Below are 22,723 nucleotides of genomic sequence, written 5' to 3' on the forward strand. Positions count from 1 at the left end.
CCACCCCGTCTGGGAAGTGAGGAGTGCCTCTGCCTGGCCGCCCCATCTGGGATGTGAGGAGTGCCTCTGCCCGGCCGCCACCCTGTCTGGGAAATGAGGAGCGCCTCTGCCTGGCTGCTGTTCAATCTTCCAAGTGTGAAGTGACAGCCTTTCTGCAGGTGTACCCAACAGTTCCGAAGAGACAGCGACCATCGAGAAAGGGCCATGAAGACGATGGCTGTTTTGTCAAAAAGAAAAGGGGGAAATTTGGGGAAAAGAAAGAGAGATCAGATTGTTACTGTGTCTGTGTAGAAAGAAGTAGACATAGGAGACTCCATTTTGTTCTGTACTAAGAAAAATTCTTCTGCCTTGGGATGCTGTTAATCTATAACCTTACCCCCAACCCCATGCTCTCTGAAACATGTGCTGTGTCAACTCAGGGTTAAATGGATTAAGGGCGGTGCAAGATGTGCTTTTTTAAATAGATGCTTGAAGGCAGCATGCTCCGTTAAGGCCGCAGGGACCTCTGCCTGGGAAAACCAGAGACCTTTGTTCACGTATTTATCTGCTGACCTTCTGTCCACTATTATCCTATGACCCTGCCACATCCCCCTCTCTGAGAAACACCCAAGAATGATCAATAAATACTAAAAAAAAAATACAAAATAAAAAATAAAGTAACTATGGTCTATGGCCGTACTACCCTGGATGTGCCCAATCTTGTCTGATATCTGAAACCAAGCAGGGTCAGGTCTGTTTAGTACTTGGATGAGAGACCTCCTGGGAATACTGGGTGTTGTAGGCTTTTTAAATAAATAAATAAGAAGTGACTATGAAGGATGTTAATAAAAAACAGGTAAACCAGCCCAGAGATTGATGATATCTGAGAGTAGAAGGAGGTGGGCTAGGAATGGAGGCAGTTATGAGAAGAGAGACAGTATGATCAGGAAGCAACTAGAATGGAAGAAAGTGAGAATAAAGAGTCCCTGAGCCCCCACACATCTTGGGGCTTAGGCCCAAGGAAATCTCCAAAAGACTCAGATGGGGTGTGTGGAGACAACTGCAACCCCCTTCCCTCAAAGCTTTAAACCCTCCTCCCTCATAATGGCCATCTGCAAACACTCTGGCCTATCTTAAAACTGTACTCTATTTGTAGCAGATTCCTGAGCTTTTAATCCTTTTGGAACTGCCCTCAACAGGACATACCCAGCTCAGTGAAGCAGTATGGGTGCATGGAAAGTACTGGGCTTAGAGTCAGAAGACCTAGGTTCTAGACCCAAAGCCTCACTAACATTCTGTGAAAATTACTCCCACTCCCAGCTCAGGTCTCAGTTTCATCACATTAAAAATAAGATGGTTGCACTGGGAAAATGTATCTGTTCCTAAGCCAGTAGGAAGCCTTCAGAGTCTCAGTGCCCACTATGTTTTTTCACCACTTTCTAGCAGGATAGTTCAGATTCCTGTACTTCACTACAACAATTGTACAAACAAGTGAAGCTACTATGAAAATTAGTGGCTCTGTGCTCCTCTTGATAAGGCTTATATATAAAAATCTATTAGTTAACTCCCACTCATTTTAGATGGAGAAACTAAGAACTAAGGTCCAGAGAAGAAATGTAATTTTCCTAAAGTCACACAGAGAATGGCAATAATCACACAGCTAGTGGCAATAAATATTGTTGTCTAGAATCAAAAGGGAACCACTGTGAGTGAATTGAGGTTCGTGGGATTCCTCACAGGAGATAAAAGGGGCAATTGGGACATGCTAAGGCCACAAAGCAGCCTAGTAAAAAGGTCACTGGAATGAGAGTTCAAGAGTCTGTCTACTTCTGCTACTAACTAGCTGTGTGGCCTTGGACAGTTCCCTTCACCTTTTAGGGTTTCAGATTCCTCATCAGTAATATAAATGATCTAGACATTTGCTAAAAGAAATAATGTATACAGTGATCCATTTCCAAGACAAAGTGCCTTGAATTGGCTTAGGTCAGCAAACTACAGAAGAAACAGGATATACTACACCCCTGCTTGGATAGCCAATGCCTGCTTGCCGACCTCCCCATTCCCTCCACCTTAGTTGCCTTCACCTGAACCAAAGAAGTTTAGTCTAAGATGGAAGTTTACTGGCCTGCAAAATAGTTCATTTTTTCTGTCCTTATCAGCCTGCCCAGCTACTTAGGTCACAAGTCAAATACTTGAAGAGCCCCTGAGCTAGCTAGGATTGCAATGCATTGTGGGCTGCAACAAAATGCAGCTAGACAACACCCCCCCCCAAAAAAAAACACCTGAAGCCCCTACCCAACAATCAATAGACGACATCTGGGAAGATTGTGACCCCATAGTACTCAGCCTATGAGGAACCGGGAGAGAGACCTGCACACTAGGAGATAAATTGCTTGTTGAAACTGTGCTGGGTCTACCTGCTCATCAGACACCCAATCTTGCAAGATAATCATTAAAAGTCTCGCTTTCACTGTTCTCGGAGTCTCTCTGAGTCCTTTCTTTGGGTTTGGATGGATGAGTTTGTTTCTCACAACCTGGTGGGCCATATGGGGATCTCTCTGCCTTTGTGGAGTGAGACTCCGACTGAGAGGGGAGATGCGTCCCAGCCAATTTAGGTGGCCCACTCTGCCCAGGTGTGCCAGCCCCCCATAGAAGCCATAGAAAAAGCCAAGGCTGTTATTCAGGAAATAACGAAAGTGACACCTGGAGAAAAGCAGGTGCCATGGCAACCAGGCAACCTCGTGCATGAGCCAAGGTAGGAAAATTGGACTATAAGTACTGCCTTGGTGGTTGGGCATTCTTGGAGGTTTCAGGGTGTGCAAGAAACCTCCAGTTAGGGGGGCTGATTACACAGGGAAAGACTCAGACACAGAGACTAACAAAAAATTGGGAAACAGGAATTCTAGGCCTAAGGGAACAAAGGAAAGAGGGAACTAAAAAGACCCCCTCTGACATTCTCCCAGATAGTCCATTGAGGAGAATGTTGCAGATTCGAAGGGATAATCCTCAAACCAGGGACAAGAAAAAGCAAAAGATGATAAAATATTGCTGTTTTATCTGGCCCAAAAAGCCCATTCATCAGCCCTTGGTCTTTTGGCCTGAGTTTGGCTCAGATGAGGATTGGGTGTGCCAAGCTTTAATTCTCTATGTGAATACTAAAACCCCATCCTCACAAGAGGAGATGGGTTATGCTCTTTGCTGGATTAGTGAATTAACCCCCATGTTCCCCCTTAAAAAGAAAGAAAAAGAGCATAGTAAAAAGCCCTCACACAATATAAAGCCCTGGAGTCTCCAACATACTTTCTCCCTCCCCCCATACATCTCACAAAGTAGAGGACAGGGAGATCGGAGGGCATCAGAAAGGTCAGAGAAACAGGAATCTGGGGGTCATGAAGGAGCTAAACCCAATGCTTTCTTAAATCCTTTTCCAAACTTGAGGAAAGAATTAGAACAATATAAGAAGGACATTACAAATTTCCCTATTCCTTCTAAACCGCAGGTATCTAACATGTACCCTCTTAGAGAAGGCCCTATGGGACAGGGAGAAGTTGGATTTTTGAGTAACAAGTAGTGAGGTTAGGAACTTGAAAAAAGGAAGTGAGGCCACTCTTGGAAAATCCCCTCAGTTTAGCAGAGCAGATAAATCAGTTTTTAGGACCCAATTTTTATACTTGGAATGAGATGATGTCAATCGTGAATATTCTGTTTACTGGGGAAGAGAGGGGAATGATTAGAAGGACAACCATAACCATTTGGGAGAGGCAGCATCCTCTGAGGCAAGGAGTCCTGCCAGCTAAGTAGAAATTCCCAAATGTGAATCCCAGATGGGATAACAATAACCCCAGAGATCGGGCCCAAATGCAGAACCTAAGGAAACCAATGATTTAAAAGATTAAAAAGTCCACTCCTAGGACACAAAATGTCTCAAAAGCATTTGAGACCCAACAAGAAAAAGAGGAGACTCCCTCTGCCTTTCTGCAGAGGCTCAGAGATCAAATGAGAAAATATTCAGGATTAGATGCAGAGGACCAAGTAAGGCAAGGCCTTTTAAAGGTTAATTTTGTGACTGAAAGCTGGTCTAATGTTACTAAGAAACTGCAAAAGATTGATTGATGGAATGAAAAACCGATTAAGAATTACTGAGGGAAGCCCAAAAGGTTTTTGTAAGAAGAAAGAAAAGAGAAACTGAGAAAGAAAGAAAAAGAAAAAGTAAAAAAGGAAATTGGAAAGAGAAAGAGGAGGAAACGGCAAACACAGAGGACAGAGAGAGAAAGAGGTAAGCTGCTGATCCTGAAAGCAGCGGAGAGCTGGCCATGCAGCTGCAGGCATGGGGCTGGCAGAAGCTGCAGAGCTGGACCAGACAGTTGAGATAAAAGTGGACAGTGTGAGAAAGCTGTTAATAAAAGCTGCTGCTGAACCTTTGTCATTTCGGCAGAGCTGTCTGTCTTTGCAGACAGATGGGAGGAGCCAGGTGCCCAGAGACAAAAAGAGGAAGAAACTAACTAAGGGAGAAAGAAAACAGGGGTTGACAGAGAGAGATAGAAAAAGAAAATGAGCAAGAGAGAGACTGGGAAAGACAGAGATCAAAGAGAGACACAGAAGGTGAGACTGGGGAGAGAGATAATGTAAAAGGAAGAAAGAGTACAAGAGGAAGTGAGAGGATGCAGAGAGGCTGGCAGGGCTGAGAAAAGGATCTAGAGGCTCAAGCAACAAGGAGGTGCAGGGAAAGGGTGGAGCATGGCCACTGAGGAGAGACAGAGCCAGAGAACTGGAGGATGCAAGTGAGAAAGGGATGTGGAGGAGAGTGTAGAATCAGGCTGCTTGAGGAATAGTAGGCTGCCTACAGCAAAGACTAGATGGCTGTATGTCAGGAGGTAAATAGAGAGGATTCAGGTTATGAAAGGGTAAACCGATAAGATGACCGTTAAGGTTTTGTTGTTTTACTGAGAGGCTGTAAATCCACCAGGGGAAGCTGTCACTAAGGCTGCAGAGGGGCTGGAGAGCTACACAGGGAAGATCAGAACTACTGTTGTAAACAAGTGAGTATAGAACCGGCAAATGATGAGGAGGGCTGCAGGGCTGTGTGGGGACTGTGGCTAACTGAAGAGGGCACACCCTGAAGAGGGGCCATGGCTGCTCAACTGTTTCTACAGTAATGGCCCTGTGTTACCAAATTGCATGCTTTGTCAGAGGCCAGAGTTCTGATGTTTTATGTGAAATTGGATTTTTTTTCTTTATTTCTTCTAAAAAAAAAGTGGCAGTTACACATGCAGCATGTGCAGGTTTGTTACATAGGTATACATGTGCCATGGTGGTTTGCTGCACCTAATGACCAATCCTCTAAGTTTCCACCCCTCATCCCCATCCCCCAACTAGCCCTGGTGTGTGTTGTGCCCCTCTCTGTGTCCATGTGTTCTCAATGTTCAACTCCCACTTATGAGTGAGAACATGTGGTGTTTGGTTTTCTGTTCCTGTGTTAGTTTGCTAAGGATAATGGCTTCCAGCTTCATCCATGTCCCTGCAAAAAAATATAATCTCATTCCTTTTTATTTCTACACAGTATATCATGGTGTATATGGACCACATTTTAATTATCCAGTCTATCACTGATGGGCATGTGGGTTGGTTCCATGTCTTTGCTATTGTAAATAGTACTGCAGTAAACATACATGTCCATGTGTCTTTATAGTAGAATGATTTATATTCCTTTGGATATATACCTAGTAATGGAATTGCTGGGTCAAATGGTATTTCTGGTTCTAGATCCTTGAGGAATCGCCGCACTGTCTTCCACAATGGCTGAACTAATTTACATTCCAACCAACAGTGTAAAAGTGATCCTATTTCTACATAGCCTCTCCAGCATCTATTGTTTCCTAAATTTTTAATAATCGCTATTCTGACCAATGTGAGATGGCATCTCATTGTGGTTTTTATTTGCATTTCTCTGATGATCAGTGATGTTGAGCTTTTGTTCATATGATCGTTGGCCACGTGTTTTCTTTTGAGAAGTATCAATTCATATCCTTTGCCCACTTGTTGATGGAGTTGTTTTTTTTTCTTGTAAACATGTTTAAGTTCCTTGTAAATACTGGATATTAGACCTTTGTCAGATAGGTAGATTGCAAAAGTTTTCTCCCACTCTGTAGGTTGCCTGTTCACTCTGATGCTGGTTTCTTTTGCTGTACAGAAGCTTTTTATTTAATTAGATCCTATTTGTCAATTTTGACTTTTGTTGCAATGACTTTGGTGTTTTTGTAATTAAGTCTTTGCCCATGCCTATGTCCTGAATGGTATTGCCTAGGTTTTCTTCTAGCTTTTTTTAATGGTTTTGTGTTTTACATTTATGTCTTTAATCCATCTTGAGAAAATTTTTGTATAAGGTGTAAGGAAGGGGTCCAGTTTCTGCTTTCTGCATATGGCTAGCAAGTGTTCCCAGCACCATTTATTGAATAGTAGATCCTTTTCCCATTTCTTTTTTTTGTCAGGTTTGTTGAAGATCAGATGATTGTAGATGTGTGGTGCTATTTCTGAGGTCTCCATTCTGCTCCACTGGTCTATACATCTGTTTTGGTACCAGTACCATACTGTTTTGGTTACTGTAGTCTTGTAGTATAGTTTGAATTCAGGTAGTGTGATGCCTCCTGCTTTGTTCCTTTTGCTTAGGATTGTCTTGGCTATGTGGGGCCTTCTTTGATTCTGTATAAAATTTAAAGTAATTTTTTCTAATTCTGTGAACAATGTCAGTGGTAGTTTGATGGGAATAGTGTTGAATTTATAAATTACTTTGAGCAATATGGCCACTTTCACAATATTGATTCTATTTATGAGGATGGAATGTTTTTCCATTTGTTAGTGTCCTCCCTTATTTCCTTGAGCAGTGGGTTGTAGTTCTCCATGAAGAATTCCTTTACATCCCTCGTTAGCTGTATTTCTAGGTATTTTATTATCTTTGTAGTGATTGTAAAGGGGAGTTCATTAATGATTTGGCTCTCTATTTGCCTATTGTGGGTGTAAAGTAATTCTTGTGATTTTGGCACATTGATTTCATATCCTGAAACTTTGCTGAAGTTGTTTATCAGTTCAAGAAGTTTTTGGGCTGAGATGATACAATTTCCTAAATATAAAAGTATGTCATCTGCAGAGACAACTTAACTTCCCCTCTTCCTATTTGAATATCTTTTATTTCTTTCTCTTCCCTGATTGCCCTGGGCAGAACTTCCAATACTATCTTGAATAGGAGTGGTGAGAGAGAGCATACTTGTCTTGTACCAGTTTTCAAAGGGAATGTTTCCAGCTTTTGCCCATTCAATATAATATAGACAAGGTGGGTTTGTCATAAATAGCTCTTATTATTTTGAGATACATTCCATCAATACCTAGTTTATTGAGAGTTTTTAACATGAAGGGATATTGAATTTTATCAAAGGTTTTTTCTGCATCTCTTGAGATAATTATGTGGTTTTTGTCTTTGGTTCTGTTTATGTAATGGATTATGTTTATTGATTTGCATATGTTGAACAAGTCTTGTATCCCAGAGATGAAGCTGACTTGATCATGGTGGATAAGTTTTTGATGTGCTGCTGGATTCAGTTTGCCAGTATTTTATTGAGGATTTTTGCATCGATGTTCATCAGGGATATTGGCCTGAAATTTTTTTTGTTGTGTCTGTGTCAGGCTTTGGTATCAGGATGATGCTGGCCTCATAAAATGAGTTAGGGAGGAGTCCTTTCTTTTCAATTGTTTGTAATAGTTTCAGAAGGAAAGGTACCAACTTCTCTTTGTATTTCTGGTAGAATTCAGCTGTGAATCCATCTGGTTGTGGGTGTTTTTTTTTTGTGTGTGTGGTAGGCTATTAATTACTGCCTCAATTTCAGAGCTTGTTATTGGTTTATTCAAGGATTCAACTTCTTCTTCCTGGTTTAGTCTTGGAAGGGTGTATGAGTCCAGGAATTTATCCATTTCTTATTCATTTTCTGGTTTATTTGCATAGAGGTGTTTATAGTATTCTCCGATGGTAATTTGTATTTTTGTGCAGTCAGTGGTGATATCCCCTTTATCAATGTTTACTGTGTATATTTGATTCTTCTCTCCCTTCTTCTTTACTAATCTAGCCAGCAGTCTATCTATTTTGTTAATTTAAAAAACTAGCTCCTGAATTCGTTGATTTTTTTAGAGTTTTTTATGTCTCTATCTCCTTCAATTCTTTTCTGATCTTGGTTATTTCCTGTCTTCTGCTAGCTTTTGGATTAGTTTGCTTTTGCCTCTCTAGCACTTTTAATTGTGATGTTAGGGTGTCAATATGAGATGTTTCTAGCTTTCTGATTGAATATTTAGTGCTATAAATTTCCCTCTTAACACTGCTTTAGTTGTGTCCCAGATATAGGGGTATGTTGTCTCTTTGTTCTCATTGGTTTCAAAGAACTCCTTGATTTCTGCCTTAATTTCATTATTTATCCATGAGTCAAACAAGAGCAGGTTTTTCAATTTTCATTAAATTGTGTGGTTTTGAGTGAGTTTTTAAATACTGAGTTCTAATTTGATTGCACTGTGGTCTGAGAGACTGTTATAACTTCAGTTTTTTGCATTTACTGAGGAGTGTTTTACTTCAAATTATGTGGTCGATTTTAGAATAAGTGCCATGTAGCACTGAGAAGAATATGTTCTGCTGATTTGGGGTTCAGAGTTCTGTAGACATCTCTCACTATTATTGTGTAGGAGACTAAGTCTCTTTGTAGGTCTCTAAGAACTTGTTTTGTGAATCTGGGTGTTCCTGTATTGGGTGCTTATACATATTTAGAATAGTCAGCTTTTCTTGTCAAATTCTTCCCTTTACCATTATATAATGCCTTCCTTTTTTTTTTTATCTTTGTTGTTTTAAAGTGTGTTTCATCAGGACCTAGGATTGCAACCACTGCTGTTTTTTTGCTTTTCATTTGCTTGGTAAATATTCTTCCATCCCTTTATTTTGAGCCTGTGTGTGTCTCTGCATGTAAAATGGGTCTCCTGAATACAACACACTGATGGGTCTTGACTCTTTTATCCAGTTTGCCACTCTGTGTCTTTTAATTATGGCATTTACCCCATTTACATTTAAAGTTAGTATTGTTATGTGTGAATTTGATGCCATCATCCTGCTGCTATTTGGTTATTTTGCACACTATTTGATGCAGTTTCTTCGTAGAGTCATTGGTCTTTATATTTTGGTGTGTTTTTGCAGTGGCTGGTACAGGTTTTTTCTTTCCACATTTAGTGCTTCTTTCAGGATCTCTTGCAGGGCAGGCCTGGTGGTAACAAAATACCTCAGCATTTGCTTGTCTGGAAAGGATTTTATTTCTCCTTTGTTTATGAAGCTTAGTTTGGCTGGATATGAAATTCTAGGTTGGAAATTATTTTCTTTAATTGTTGAATATTAGCCCCCAATCTCTTCTGGCTTGTAGTTTCTGCAGAGAAGTCCACCGTTAGTTTGATGGGCTTCCCTTTGGAGGTGACCTGGCCTTTCTCTCTAGCTGCCCTTAACAGTTTTTATTTGATTTCAACCTTGGAGAATCTGATGATTATGTGTCTTGGGGTAGATCATCTCATGGAGTATCTTAATGGTGTTCTCTGTATTTCCTGAATGTGCATGTTGGTCTGTCTGGCTAGGCTGGGGAAGTTCTCCTGGATAACATCCTGAAGTGTGTTTTCCAGCTTGTTTACATTCTCCCCATCTCCTTCTGTTACTCCAATCAATCGTAAGTTCAGTCTTTTTATGAAGTCCCATATTTCTTGGAGGCTTTGTTCAATTTTTTTCATTCTTTTTTTCTCTATTACTCTCTGCACTTCTTACTTCAGTAAGGTGGTCTTCAAACTCTGATATCCTTTCTTCTACTAGGTTGATGTGGCTGTTGATTCTTGTGTATGCTTCACAAAGTTATCATGCTGTGTTTTTCAGCTCCATTAAGTCATGTATGTACCTCTCTAAACTGGTTATTCTAGTTAGCAATTCCACTAACCTTTTATCAATGTTCTTAGCTTATTTGCATTGGGTTAGAACATGCTCCTTTAGTTCATCATAGTTTTTTTATTACCCATCTTCTGAAGCCTACTTCTGTCCGTTCATCCATCTGATTTTCCACCCAGTTCTGTGCCCCTGATGGAGGGATGTTGCAATCATTAAGAAGAGAACAGGCATTCTGGCCTTTTGTGTTTTCAGAATTTTCTCATTGATTCTTTCTCATACTCATGAGTTCGTCTAGTTTTGGTCTTTGAGGTTGCTATCCCTTGGATGGAATTTTTGTGGGAGTCTTTTTGTTGTTGTTGTTGTTCTTGTTGTTGATGTTGTTTTTGTCACTTTCTGCTTGTTTGTTTTTCTTTCAATAGTTAGGTCCCTCTTCTGTAGGGCTGCTGCAGTTGGCTGGGGGTTCACCTCAGGCTCTGTTCATCTGATTCACGCTCATGCTTGGAGATGTCACTCAAGGAGGCTGGAGAGAAGCAATGATGGATGCCTCCTCCTTCTTGTGAAACCTCTGACCTTGAGGGGCACCAAACTGATGCCAGTAGGATTTCTTCTATATAGGTCGTCTGACAACCCCTGTTAAAGTGTGTAACCCCATTGGGTGGCACAGGGAGCAGGACCCATTTAATGAAGCATCTTTTCCCTCAGTGGAAAGGATCTGTTTCTCTATGGGGAAACTCACTCATCTGGGCTGTCTAGATTTCTCAGAACTACTAGGAGGATAGGCTAAGTCTGCTCATCTGCACAGACTGCAGCCACCCCTCCCTCTAGGGGCTCAGGCCCATTGAGATCCAAATTCTGTCCCTGAGCCTCTGGCTGGAGTTATTGAAGATTCTGCCAGGAAGGCTCACCCATTGAGGGAGGATGGGTCAGGGTTGGGCCTGAAGAGTCACTCTGGCCACAGACTGCCACAGCCTGTTTGCTGGGCTGTGGGGACAAGCCTTAGGGCCAAGCAATCCAGCCTCCCTGGCTCTAGCAGGGGAAAAGCACAGCCTGGAGTTATAGAAGTGGGTGCCACCCTTCCCCCACCCAGTGAGCCTAACGTGTTAGGCAGTTGCCAGTCCCAGTGCTGGCTGCTGCCCCTCCCCCAAGGAGCTCAAAGGGCTTAGACAACTGGCAGCTGCAGCCTGTGCTGGTCACAGGCTAGGGTCCCTCCCCACAGGAGTTTGGTATATTTTAGCAGATTCCAGCTGAGAGGCTGTAAGAATCTGTGCATTCTTACACAGATTGGGACAATAGGTCACGGGACACTAAACCATGGTGGCATGGGTTCATGGGTGGGATCTTCCAATCCATGGGTTGCACAGTTCCGTGGAAAAAGCAATTTTCCTGACTGGGTAGTGCACTCACTCACCACCTCCCTTGGCTGGGGGGAGGGGGTTCCCCTTCCCCATGTGGTTCTCAAGTGAGCCACCACACCACAATGCTCTTCCTTCTCTCCATGTTTCATGCCAGCTTTCTAGTCAATTTTGATGAGAGAACCTAGATACTTTGGTTGCCAGTGAAACATTCACATGCTTATTAAGGTTTTTTTTGATGGGAGTCTCTGAACACTGCAGCTTCTGGTTGGCCATCTTGGCCCCACCCATGACCAAGTGAGGTTCATTCCAGAGAAGGATGTTGGGAACAGGTCCCCCAAAATCTGGCCATAAACTGGCCCCAAAACTGGCCATAAACAAAATTTCTGCAGCACTGTCACACATTCATGATGGCCATAATGCCCACACTGGAAGGTTGTGGGTTTACCAGAATGAGGGCAAGGAACACCTGGCCCACCCAGGGCGGAAAATTGCTTAAAGACATTCTTAAGCCACAAACAATAGCATGAGCAATCTGCTCCTGCTGCAGTTAACTAGCCCAACCTATTCCTTTAATTTGGCCCATCCCTTCATTTTCCATAAGGGATACTTTTAGTTAACCAAATATCTATAGAAGCAATGCTAATGACTGGCTTGCTGTTAATAAATACGTGGGTAAATCTCTGTTCAGGGCTCTGAGCTCTGAAGGCTGTGAGGGCCCTGATTTCCCACTTCACACCTCTATATTTCTGTGTGTGTGTCTTTAATTCCTCTAGTGCCGCTGGGTTAGGGTCTCCCCGACTGAGCTGGTATCAGCAAATGGCATCCATCATGGGGACTCAAATCCAGGTCAAAGGTTTGCCAGAGGGATGGTTGGAGAACATGGAACTAGCTAGAGGACACCTGAGTACTCTTAAAGCAATCCCTGTGGTGAGTAAGAAGGGGAGTTTGGCACTTTGGGAGGCTGAGGTGGGCAGATCACGAGGTCAGGAGATCAAGACCATCCTGACTAACATGGTGAAACCCCCTCTCTACTAAAAATACAAAAAATTAGCCAGGCGTGGTGGCAGGCACCTGTAATCCCAGCTACTTGGGAGGCTGAGGCAGGAGAATGTTGTGAACCCAGGAGGCGGAGCTTGCAGTGAGCCAAGATTGCACCACTGCACTCCAGCCTGGGTGACAGAGCAAGACACCATATCGAAAAAAAAAAAAAAAAAGAAGGGGAGCTCAGAAGCATCAGGGTAACAATGGGACAAGTGTGGGCTGTGGTTGGTTCCACCTTGGAACTTTTTCACACTGATTATGAGGAGGAAGGAGAGTATAATGAAGTAACAGAAGAGGTTACAGACCAGGTTTATTTGCCAGCTAAAGCTAAAGCGGCAAAGGAGGGAGAGGTTCATCCCTACCCTTCTGCACCCCCTCATTATTATTTTGAAGAAAAAGAGTGGCCTGACCCTCCAGATCTTTCTTTTCCAGAGGACACTGGGCCAAAAGTAGTTGCTCCAGTGACTGTAGAAGAGAGGGTGATTTAGAGCATGGCAATTCCCTGTTAGAATACACTCCCCAGATCAACAGGGAAATATTATAGCTACATTTGAGGCTTTTCCTTTTAAATTACTCAAAGAATTCAAACAAGCTATTCATACTAAAAAAGAATGTAGAAAAAATCAGTGAGTCAGGCCACCAGATAGGGGAAAAGTGAAAACTGCTGAGCCTGAAGTATGTCCAAAATGTGAAAAAGAAAAACATTGGGCTAATCAGTGCACTCTAAGTTTGATAAAGAAGGGAACCTGATTTCAGGAAACGTCATGAGGGGCCCGTCCTGGGCCCTGTTCCAAACTGGGGCATTTCCAGCTGAGGCCATTCCCTCACCCCTGTACGATGTCTGTCCCCCGCCTCAGCCAGTAGTGCCACAGTAGATTTATGCTGCACAAAAGTTGTGAGTCTTCTGCCTGGGGAACCCCTGAAAAAGGTCCCAACAGAAGTCTGTGGACCCTTGCCAGTGGGGACAATAGGATTACTTCTAGGCAGGTCTAGTTTAAGTTTAAAAGGGGTACAAATACATAGAGGAGTCATTGATTCAGATTATAATGGGGAAATTCAAATCATTATATCTACTTCTGTTCCCTGGAAAACAGAGCCAGGAGAGTGCACAGCACAGCTCCTGATTGTGCCATATGTGGGAATGGGAAAAGTGAAATTAAATGAACAGGAGGATTTTGAATCACAAATAAACAAGGCAAAGCAGCTTACTGGGTACATCAAATTATTGATAAATGTCCTGTCTGTGAAATAACTATTCAGGGAAAGAAATTTAAAGGTTTGGTAGATACGGGAGTGGACATTTCAATCATTTCTCTACAGCACTGGCTGTCCATGTGGCCAATTCAACCACTCAATTTAACATAGTTGGAGTTGGTAAAGCCCCTAAAGTGTATCACAGTAGTTATATTTTGCATTGTGAAGGGCCTAACAGACCACCTGGAACTATTCAACCAATCATAACTTCTGTACCTATAAATTTATGGGGGAGATATTTATTACAACAATGGAGAGCACAAGCCAAGCTCTAGCTACATTTTTCTGTATGTCAAATATTAAACACATTACTGGTATCCCATACAATTCTCAAGGACAAGCCATAGTGGGAAGAATGAATATTTCCCTAAAACAGCAGTTGCAAAAGCAGAAAGGGGGAAATAGAGAATATGGAACCCCACAGATGCAACTGAATCTAGCATTATTAACTTTATATTTTTTGAGCCTGCCCAAAAGCCAGATGCTATCAGCAGCTGAACAGCATCTACAGAAACCAGCTGCAAAGACAGAAGCAGAACAACTGATTTGGTGGAGAGATCCAATAACAAAAAGTTGGAAAATAGGTAAAATCATAACTTGGGGTAGAGATTATGCTTGTGTTTCTCCAGGCCAAAATCAACAGCCAATTTGGATACCATCAAGACAAATGAAACCTTATCATGAGCCAGATTCTGGGAGGATCCCGAGGACCCCTCAGTTGAAGCCATGTCAAGACTGACGTTGAGGAAGACCCCAGCTTTCACGAGCAACACCCGTTTAACACAGCCACCCACCTGGGGAGAGATCACGAAGCTGTCACAGATTGTGGAAGAAAACCTGAGAAAAGCAGGACAACCAGTCACAATGAGTAATTTAATGGTAGCTATGATAGCAGTTATCACCCTGCCATGAGTATTCCTTCAACAAGGGCTGACACAGAGAACAATTATACTTACTGGGCATATATATCAATCCTGGATGGTAATAATGCCTGAATATAATCACTCTATGACACAGTTACACATGCTTTCTGATCTCAGTATTTACCCTAATAAATTTGTTCCTATAATTGAGGCATACCACCTTAAAAAACCTATTTGTAAACAAAATAGAACCTGGCCAGAAATAATGAATGTACTTGTTTAGGAAGATTGCTTTACAGAACAGGCAGAGGGGCTGCATAACGATTCCTATGGAATCTTTATTGATTGGTCCCCTAAAGGGATGTTTAACCTAAATTGCACCTCTCAGTCTGCATGCCATGGCCACACTATGCTCAGCTGATCTAAACAAAATGGTCAGATGGTAGAAATGATAAGAAGTATGGCAAAAGTTCCTATTATCTGAAACCATGGCAGTATAGTGGCACCTCAACCTCAAATGATATGGCTTATTGTAGGAGGTAAACATGAAGGATTTGTGGAAACTATTAATAGCTCTTAATAAGATCAAAATTTGGGAAAGAATAAAAAAGTATCTAGAAGGACACACTACAAACTTGTTTTTGGATATGGCAAAATTAGAAGAACAAATATTTAAAACATCTCAAGCACACATGGCCTTAATGCCAGGAACTGGAGTGTTTAAAGGAGCTGCAGACAGATTAGCAGCTAGTAACCCATTAAAATGGATAAAAATACTTGGAAGCTCTGTAATTTCAATGATGATTGTGCTTTTAATCTGTGTTGTTTGTCTTTGTATAGTCTGCAGATGTGGATCCTGACTCCTGTGAGAAGTAGCTCACCATGACAAAGCTGCCTTTGCTTTTATCGCTTTGCAAATCAAATAAGGGGGACATGTAGGGAACAGGCCCCCCCCAAAATCTGGCCATAAACTGGCCACAAAACTGGCCATAAACAAAATCTCTGCAGCACTGTATCATGTTCATGATGGCCATAACGCCCACACTGGAAGGTTGTGGGTTTACCAGAATGAGGTCAAGGAACACCTGGCCCGCCCAGGGTGGAAAACCTCTTAAAGGCATTTTTAAGCCACAAACAAAAGCATGAGTGATCTGTGCCTTAAGGACATGCTTCTATTGCAGTTAACTAGCCCAACCTATTACTTTAATTTGGCCCATCCCTTCGTTTCCCATAAGGGATACTTTTAGTTAATTTAATATCTATAGAAACAATGCTAATGACTAGCTTGCTGTTAATAAATATGTGGGCAAATCTTTGTTCAGGGCTCTCAGCTCTGAAGGCTGTGAGGGCCCTGATTTCCCACTTCACACCTCTATATTTCTGTGTGTGTGTCTTTAATTCCTCTAGTGCCGCTGGGTTAGGGTCTCCCCGACTGAGCTGGTCTTTGCAGATGGAAGGTTGGATCAATATTTAAAAATCAATCAACAGAAATCATGACATAAGGCAAAAAGGATGAAGGCATGTCTTACATGACTGAAGCAAGAGGAAGAGCAGGAAATTGGATTTTTAAATGCTGGTAATCAGTTCAAAAACCTTTAAAACCCAATACAGACAAATGACGATGTCAGTTTGCCATCCCTGAAGTAGAGAGGGCCTGTGTTGGGGAGATATCAGCCAAAATGCCTTAAGTGGGATCTATGAAAGTTCTGTTTCCCAGAGCCTGGCTGGGCTGGGGGAGGATCCTTGCAGCTGAAGAGGAGGAAAAGTCACTGAGTCACCTCCCAGAGTGGGACAAACTGGAGACCCTTTGCAGTTGCTGGGTCACCATCAGGGGTGGCATGGAATATTAACAGTGCAGCTCTCAGTCTGCCAGAAAGATGGATGGTGGATTCAAAGCAAAAAAAAAGGAAGGGCAGGCAGAGCCAGGGATGCCTTTGCTGATAAGAGTGCCTGTCAGGGGAGTCACCACAGGCTGGTAGCTCTTCAAACCAGCAGCTCTTGGCTCAGAGCCAGACCCAGCTGGGTTTGGTCCAAGGCATCCTGGGATGCCTGCTGGTCAGTCCCTTGCCTCCCCAAGTTCCTCCTGGAGTCAGTGGGCCCTGGGGAGGTTCCTAACCTAAATCCAGCTGGTTTCTTATGGAAAGAAGAGGAGGATAAGAAGGTATCAAAACATAATTGTTTAAATGTCATAGAACATCAAACTAAAATTAAAACAGACCTTAAAGAAACTCCACTATGTAATGGGATGAGGCTGCTTGTGAATGGGTCATCCCAAGTAATACATGGTAAAAGACACAATAGCTATGTTGTCATTAATAAAGACAAACAATCCTTATGTGAAAAAAGTAAATTACCCAATAACTGGTGAGCACAAACCTGTGAATTACATGTTCTTAACAAGGCCCCAAAGCTCCTAAAAGGCCAAGAAGTTACTATATATACTAATTTCCAATATGCCTATGTAGTAGTACACACCTTTGGAAAGATCTGGACAAAACAGGGCATACATAAGTAGCAGGGAAAAGAATTGGTACATGGGGAGCTGGTCAAACAAGTTTTAGAAAGCCTCCTGCTTCCAGCGTAGATAGCCATAGTTCATGTAAATGGCCATCAGAAAGGAAACACTATAGAAGCTGTGGGAACAGGCTTGAAGATGAAGCTGCCAAGCCAGCCTCCCTGGAGGAAGAAGTTAGACTGTTTAGCCTAATCCCAGATATCCCTAAAGTGGTATTAAAACCCCAATTTTCTAAAGAGGAGGAGGAACAGCTGGGCAAGATAGGGGCCATTCAACCTGAAGATGGGAGGTGAATGCTCCCTGACGGGAGAGGAATGACAAGAAAAGCCATAATGACAGAACGGATGTCCATACTGCATAAGGGAAGTCATTGAGGTCCCCAGGCCATGTGTAATGCAATACTCAAGAATTATGGCTGTAAAGGGATTTATACCCTTGCTAAACAAGTGTGTGGGGGTTGTGGGACCTGCCAGAAAATAAACAAAAAGATAGTTAGAAAACAGACTACTGGAGGGAGACCTCCTGGGTTAAGGCCATTTCAAAGCGTTTAAGTAGATTTTACAGAAATGTCCAAAATAGGGAGACTAAAGTATCTACTGGTAATGATACACCACCTCTCTGGCTGGGTGGAGGTCTTCCCCCTCCTAACTGCCACCACCAGGAATGTGGTCAAAATAATCTTAGAACAAATTATACCCAGATTTGGCCTGGTAGAAAATATTGATTCAGACAGTGGGAGCCATTTTGCCTCAAGTGTGCTAAGGGGAATTATGAAAAGTTTACACATTAGATGGAATTACCACTCCCCTTGGCATCTCCCTTCCTCTGGAAAAGTCAAAAGAATAAATCAAACTCTCAAAAAGCATATTACTAAACTAATCTTAGAAACTAAAATGCCTTAGACCAAATGTCTCCCAATAGCACTCTTTAGGATTAGGACATCCCCAAGGAAAGACTAGGGGATTGTTCCCTTACAAGTTATTATATGAACTCCCATATTTAGGTAGGACTACTGACCTTCCTACTATGGAAACAAAAGATCACTTTTTAAGACATTATATACTGGCCATATCCTCCACCCTGTCATTTCTTAGGTTAAAAGAACTTCTAAGACCAGGCAAGGTGGCTCATGCCTGTAATCCCAGCACTTTGGGAGGCCAAGGCTGGCGAATCATCTGAGGTCAGGAGTTTGAGACCAGCCTTACCAACATGATGAATTCCCGTCTCTACCAAAAATACAAAAATTAGGTGGGTGTGGTGGTGGGTACCTGTAACCCCAACTACTTGGAAGGCAGAGGCAGGCAAAGCACTTGAATCCAGGAGGCAGAGGTGCAGTGAGCCGAGATTGCACCACTGCACTCCAGCCTGGATGACAGAGAGAGACAGTCTCAAAAAAAAAAGGACTTCTAACTCAAACCCCGCCTCTTCAGTTCACAGTACACCATTTCCAGCCTGGTGACTCGGTGCTAATTAAAACTTAGAAAGAAGATATGCTCCACCCAAGCTGGGAAGGTCCCTATCAAGTGCATCTAATCACTGAGACAGCCGTACAAACAGCTGAATGGGGGTGAACATATTACCTACGGGTCAAAACCCTGGTAAAAGAACCCCTGGAAGAAAGGGAAAAGGGTGAATGTGGAGTGTATAAATCACCTAAGAAACACTTAAAGCTAGCTCTAAGAAAAACCTAAAAAGAAGCTATAAGCAGGGTTCATCATTGGGGGTGGATATGGTTAGGATTAATCCTAACACAAGGGGTAAAAGAAAACCTAAGTATTGAATAGAGCCCAGTACTAGGGGTAGAAAGTAAGGAATATACAATCAAACTAATAGTCAACATAACTAAGACCTCTACTCCGCCCCCAAACTATATAATTTAATGCCTGCCAAGTCTTACTTTGTGGGAATTTAGGGAACCAAAGGCAGCTGTCACAAGCAAACAAATATCTATGTCCTGAAATTTGTCACTATTGGGGAAAGACCTGTTCTAGCTGGAATGAGGTCTGGTGGACCACCCAATTTTGAGGCTGGGTAAGTCATTCTTCCAAAAACAAACCCTTAAAGAACAAAATATATTTGTATAAGGGCCCTATACTACATAACTGTAGTAATTTAAAATGCAATCATATGTTAATTACCATAAACAACCCAGCTACTATAGACCAGGAACCTTGAAGGTATAGATTAGGAACAGATATCTCAGGAAAGGATCCTGTAGCATGGTTAGCTCTTAGGCTAGTCACCAACTCCATCCCAAGCCCACCCAGGATTATTATAACTCCCGGTCCCTCTACTTCCTTTAATCCACCAGACAATGACCCTAAGAGAGTAAATATAATTAAAATAACTGACTTGAAGCAGACTTTAGAAATTGAGACTGGATATGGGGATGTAAACGCCTGGATTGAATGGGTCAAATTTTCAGTACTAGCTCTTAATAAGAGCAACTGTTATGCATGCTCTCTTGGGCGGCCTCAGGTACAGGTAGTTCCGTTTCCCCTAGGAAGGGATACCAATCCCAGAGGAATGTGTGGCATGTTGGCTCTACACCAGGACAGAGATGCATGGGGAAATGGGACTTGCAAATTTTATTATTGTTGTTTCCTGCCTTACTGAGGTCAGATCCTAGAGCAATCCCCTCATTCTCCATAGAGAATGTGAACCATTCTTCTTTCCTATCTAGGCAGGGGGCAGAGTTCAATAAGCCCATGGGAAAATTCTCAACTTGGACCCACATTCTAAATGTTACTGGTGAGTAAAACAAAGGCAACTACTCGGCTTTTTATATACCCCAAGCTAACGTCTGCTGGCATTGTGGGAAGAGGAACCTCCATGACCTGTTACCACCCAATTGGACTGGGACTTGTGCCTTAGCTCCATTCCATTCACCTTGGCATTCTATAAAATCCCTGAGAATCCACATGGCCACTGAAGTTGGAGAGATCTAACAAATTCTTTCAATCCCAACATTTATATTAACTCAATAGGAGTCCCTAAAGGAGTAACTAATAAATTTAAAAATGAAAGAACACAAAAATAAGTGTGGAAATAGAACCAATAGGAGTAAAAAGAAAAACAGGAGGAAATTGAAGGAAATAATGTATACGGTGCTCCGTTTCCAAGACAAAATGCCTTGAATTGGCTTAGGTCAGCAAACTACAGAAGAAACAGGATATGTTAGGCCCCTGCTTGGATAGCTGATGCCTGCTCATCGGCCTCCCCCTTCTTCCCCCCACTTAGTTGCCTTCACCCAAACCGAAGAAGTTTAGTCTAAGATGAAAGTTTACTAGCCTGCAAAATAGCTCATTTTGTCTGTTCTTATCAACCTGCCCAGCTACTTAGGTCATAAGTCAAATATCTGAAGAGCCCCAGAGCTAACTAGGATTGCAATGCACTGTGGGCTGCAACAAAATGCAGCAAGACAACCCTAAAAAAATCACATGAAACCCCTTACCCTACAATCAATAGACAACGTCCGGGAAGATTGTAACCCCATAGTACTCGGTCTATAAGGAACCAGAGGAGGGACTTGCACACTAGGGGATAAATTGCTTGTTGAAACTGTGCTGGGTGTCATGAGACACCCAATCTTGCAAGATCGTCATTAAAAATCTCGCTTTCGCTGTTCCCCAGGTATCTAAGTCCATTTTTTGGGATTGGACAGGTGAGTTTGTCTCTCACATTATCTACTTGTTCCTTACTGAAGATGCTCTATGAGATGTTATTCTGAGCTACACTCCTTTCTCTGAGCGTGAGCTCCTGGTGTGGTCAGCCCCATTCAAACTTATGGCAGAATGCAGGGATAATGAGGCTACAAGAAAAGCTCTAGTCACCGTCCCCCAAGACAAGGATCAGGGCCCTGCTCAGAAAATTACTCAGAAAATTACTCTTCCCCTCCTCAATGGACCATGTTTTTCTGATGGACAACTTTTGAACCTTTACGACTCAGCTTTAAGCATCATATCATTTGTGAAGTCTTCTCTGACTCCCCAGAAAAAAACTGATTACATCTTCCTTTAGGCCATCTCTATGCTTGTTATAAATGCCTCTATTATAGCACTAATAATTCTGAATTAGCTTTTCATTTCTGAAATGAACAAATGGCTATAAATAAGGTAAAGGATGTGTTAGAAACAGTAGGAGATAAAAGTTAGAGTCAAATCTTGGAGGGTCTTAAACACTTAGCAGAGAGGCTTGAACTGAATGAGAGCAAGATTGGGGGATAACAATTACTTTTGTACAAGGGACATAGCAAAACAAGTGTTCATTATCGTTGGAGTAAAGGCATAGAGGTGGGAATTATCCTAAATTTCATGAGACTACCTATATGTTGAGGAGGTGGGGGAACTAGTGAGAACCCAGGCATGACCCTGTGGGACGCAGACTGAACTGCCAGCCAATTTCATGATACAAAGGCTTCTTTCTTTTATGACAAATGGATCCAAGTAAAGTCCTGAAGACCATAACAAGCAGCTACTACAGGGTCTCTTGGCAGCTCCATATAGGAGCATGAAGACTGGGCTGGGTAAGAGATGAACGGATAGGGATACGGCCTACTCACAGACGGCATTGGGACCTGTAGCCCATTTTGCTTTGGACCATTTAGGATGTAAGAGAGAATGAGAACAACTAGGTCCAAATCCCAATCCACACTGTGCTGTGGTCTACCTAAGGAGTCAGCTCAGGAACGGCCCTTACATACACACACATCACTGGCAGCCCTTAGTGTTTCCACACAGCAGGGAAAAAGCAACCTTCCCAGCAGCCTGTGCAAAGGCCAAGCAGCTTAGAGGGCCCTGGAGAAAAGATTCAGAAGGTATAAAAGGGCATAGGGTGTGGTTGAGCACAATGACCAGCAAATATTTTAGACTTCTGCTTCAAAGTGGGCTTGACCTGTACCGACAAACAAGGCAGAAAGAGCCCCAGCTTGGTTTTGGCCTGACTTCAGAGGGGGACAAAAAGTGCCCACAAACAGCCAGTCATGAAACAATATTTGCTCCCTCTGGAAAATCATGGCCTTTAGCACATTCCCCAGAATTACGTCAACCAGGGAACAGTGCCAAAAATGTGACTTTCATGTTTCTGCAGCAACAGATGATTTCCTCTCTCCACTTGGCTTTTTTTCTTGTATGTATAAATAAAAGAGCCAGTCAATCGCTCAAAAAATATGAACAACTTAAGCATTTCCAGGCTTTACAAGTAGTAATTATTAATAGAAGCAAGTGACCATGCATACTAGAAATGTTATTTCACATATTCCTTTTCTGGTTTCTTAAAGGAGATTTATATATGTGGCCAGGCTGAACTGAAATAATAACAGTTGACACAATGACCACATGAAAATGGACTTTTCCTCACTTGATTTATGTCACCAAACTTGCATATAAATGTTCCATTTTGTCTGCTCGAAGATTCTTAAGCCTGGGGACAGAGGACAGGAGGTCACCCAGCCCACAGAGCCTGAGAAGAGAATCCACCAGGAAAAAAAAAAAAGATAATGGAAACATCAGGGAAGCTCAGCTGTGTAACTGGACCACTGTTTTTTGGACTTAGCCAGAGGCCATTGTAAAATCCAACAATGGGTGAAAAGCAATATTCATTGCTCATTTCTTGCCTTCAACTTCTATCCCTTCATACTTAATCCTTGTCTAATCTGCCTTTCATCCTGATCAATAACATTTCTTATAACTCTGGAAGCAAAATGTCTTACTGCTTGACTACCTTGACTGATCTCTTTCCTTTCTCTCCACCACATATTTGTCGCATCAGCACT

At 42.3% G+C, this 22,723-nt stretch overlaps 1 long non-coding RNA gene and 1 pseudogene across 1 annotated transcript, besides 1 other annotated feature; both read left to right on the forward strand.

The window, feature by feature from the left end:
• On the forward strand, positions 666-784 carry RNA5SP509 (RNA, 5S ribosomal pseudogene 509; annotated as a pseudogene).
• Positions 4,556-15,810, forward strand: LOC105373254 (uncharacterized). Its single transcript, XR_938449.3, has 3 exons — positions 4,556-5,018; positions 12,051-12,204; positions 14,202-15,810. It is a non-coding gene; the product is annotated as an uncharacterized LOC105373254 (long non-coding RNA).
• Positions 21,869-22,163: an enhancer, noted in NCBI's record as "tiled region #14264; HepG2 Activating non-DNase unmatched - State 5:Enh". NCBI's record gives its function as "activates a minimal TATA promoter and a strong SV40 promoter by Sharpr-MPRA in HepG2 cells {active_cell/tissue: HepG2}" and the evidence as "EXISTENCE:reporter gene assay evidence [ECO:0000049][PMID:27701403]".

The sequence above is a fragment of the Homo sapiens genome, chromosome X (genome assembly GCF_000001405.40).
Source record: "Homo sapiens chromosome X, GRCh38.p14 Primary Assembly".
NCBI lineage: Eukaryota > Metazoa > Chordata > Mammalia > Primates > Hominidae > Homo > Homo sapiens.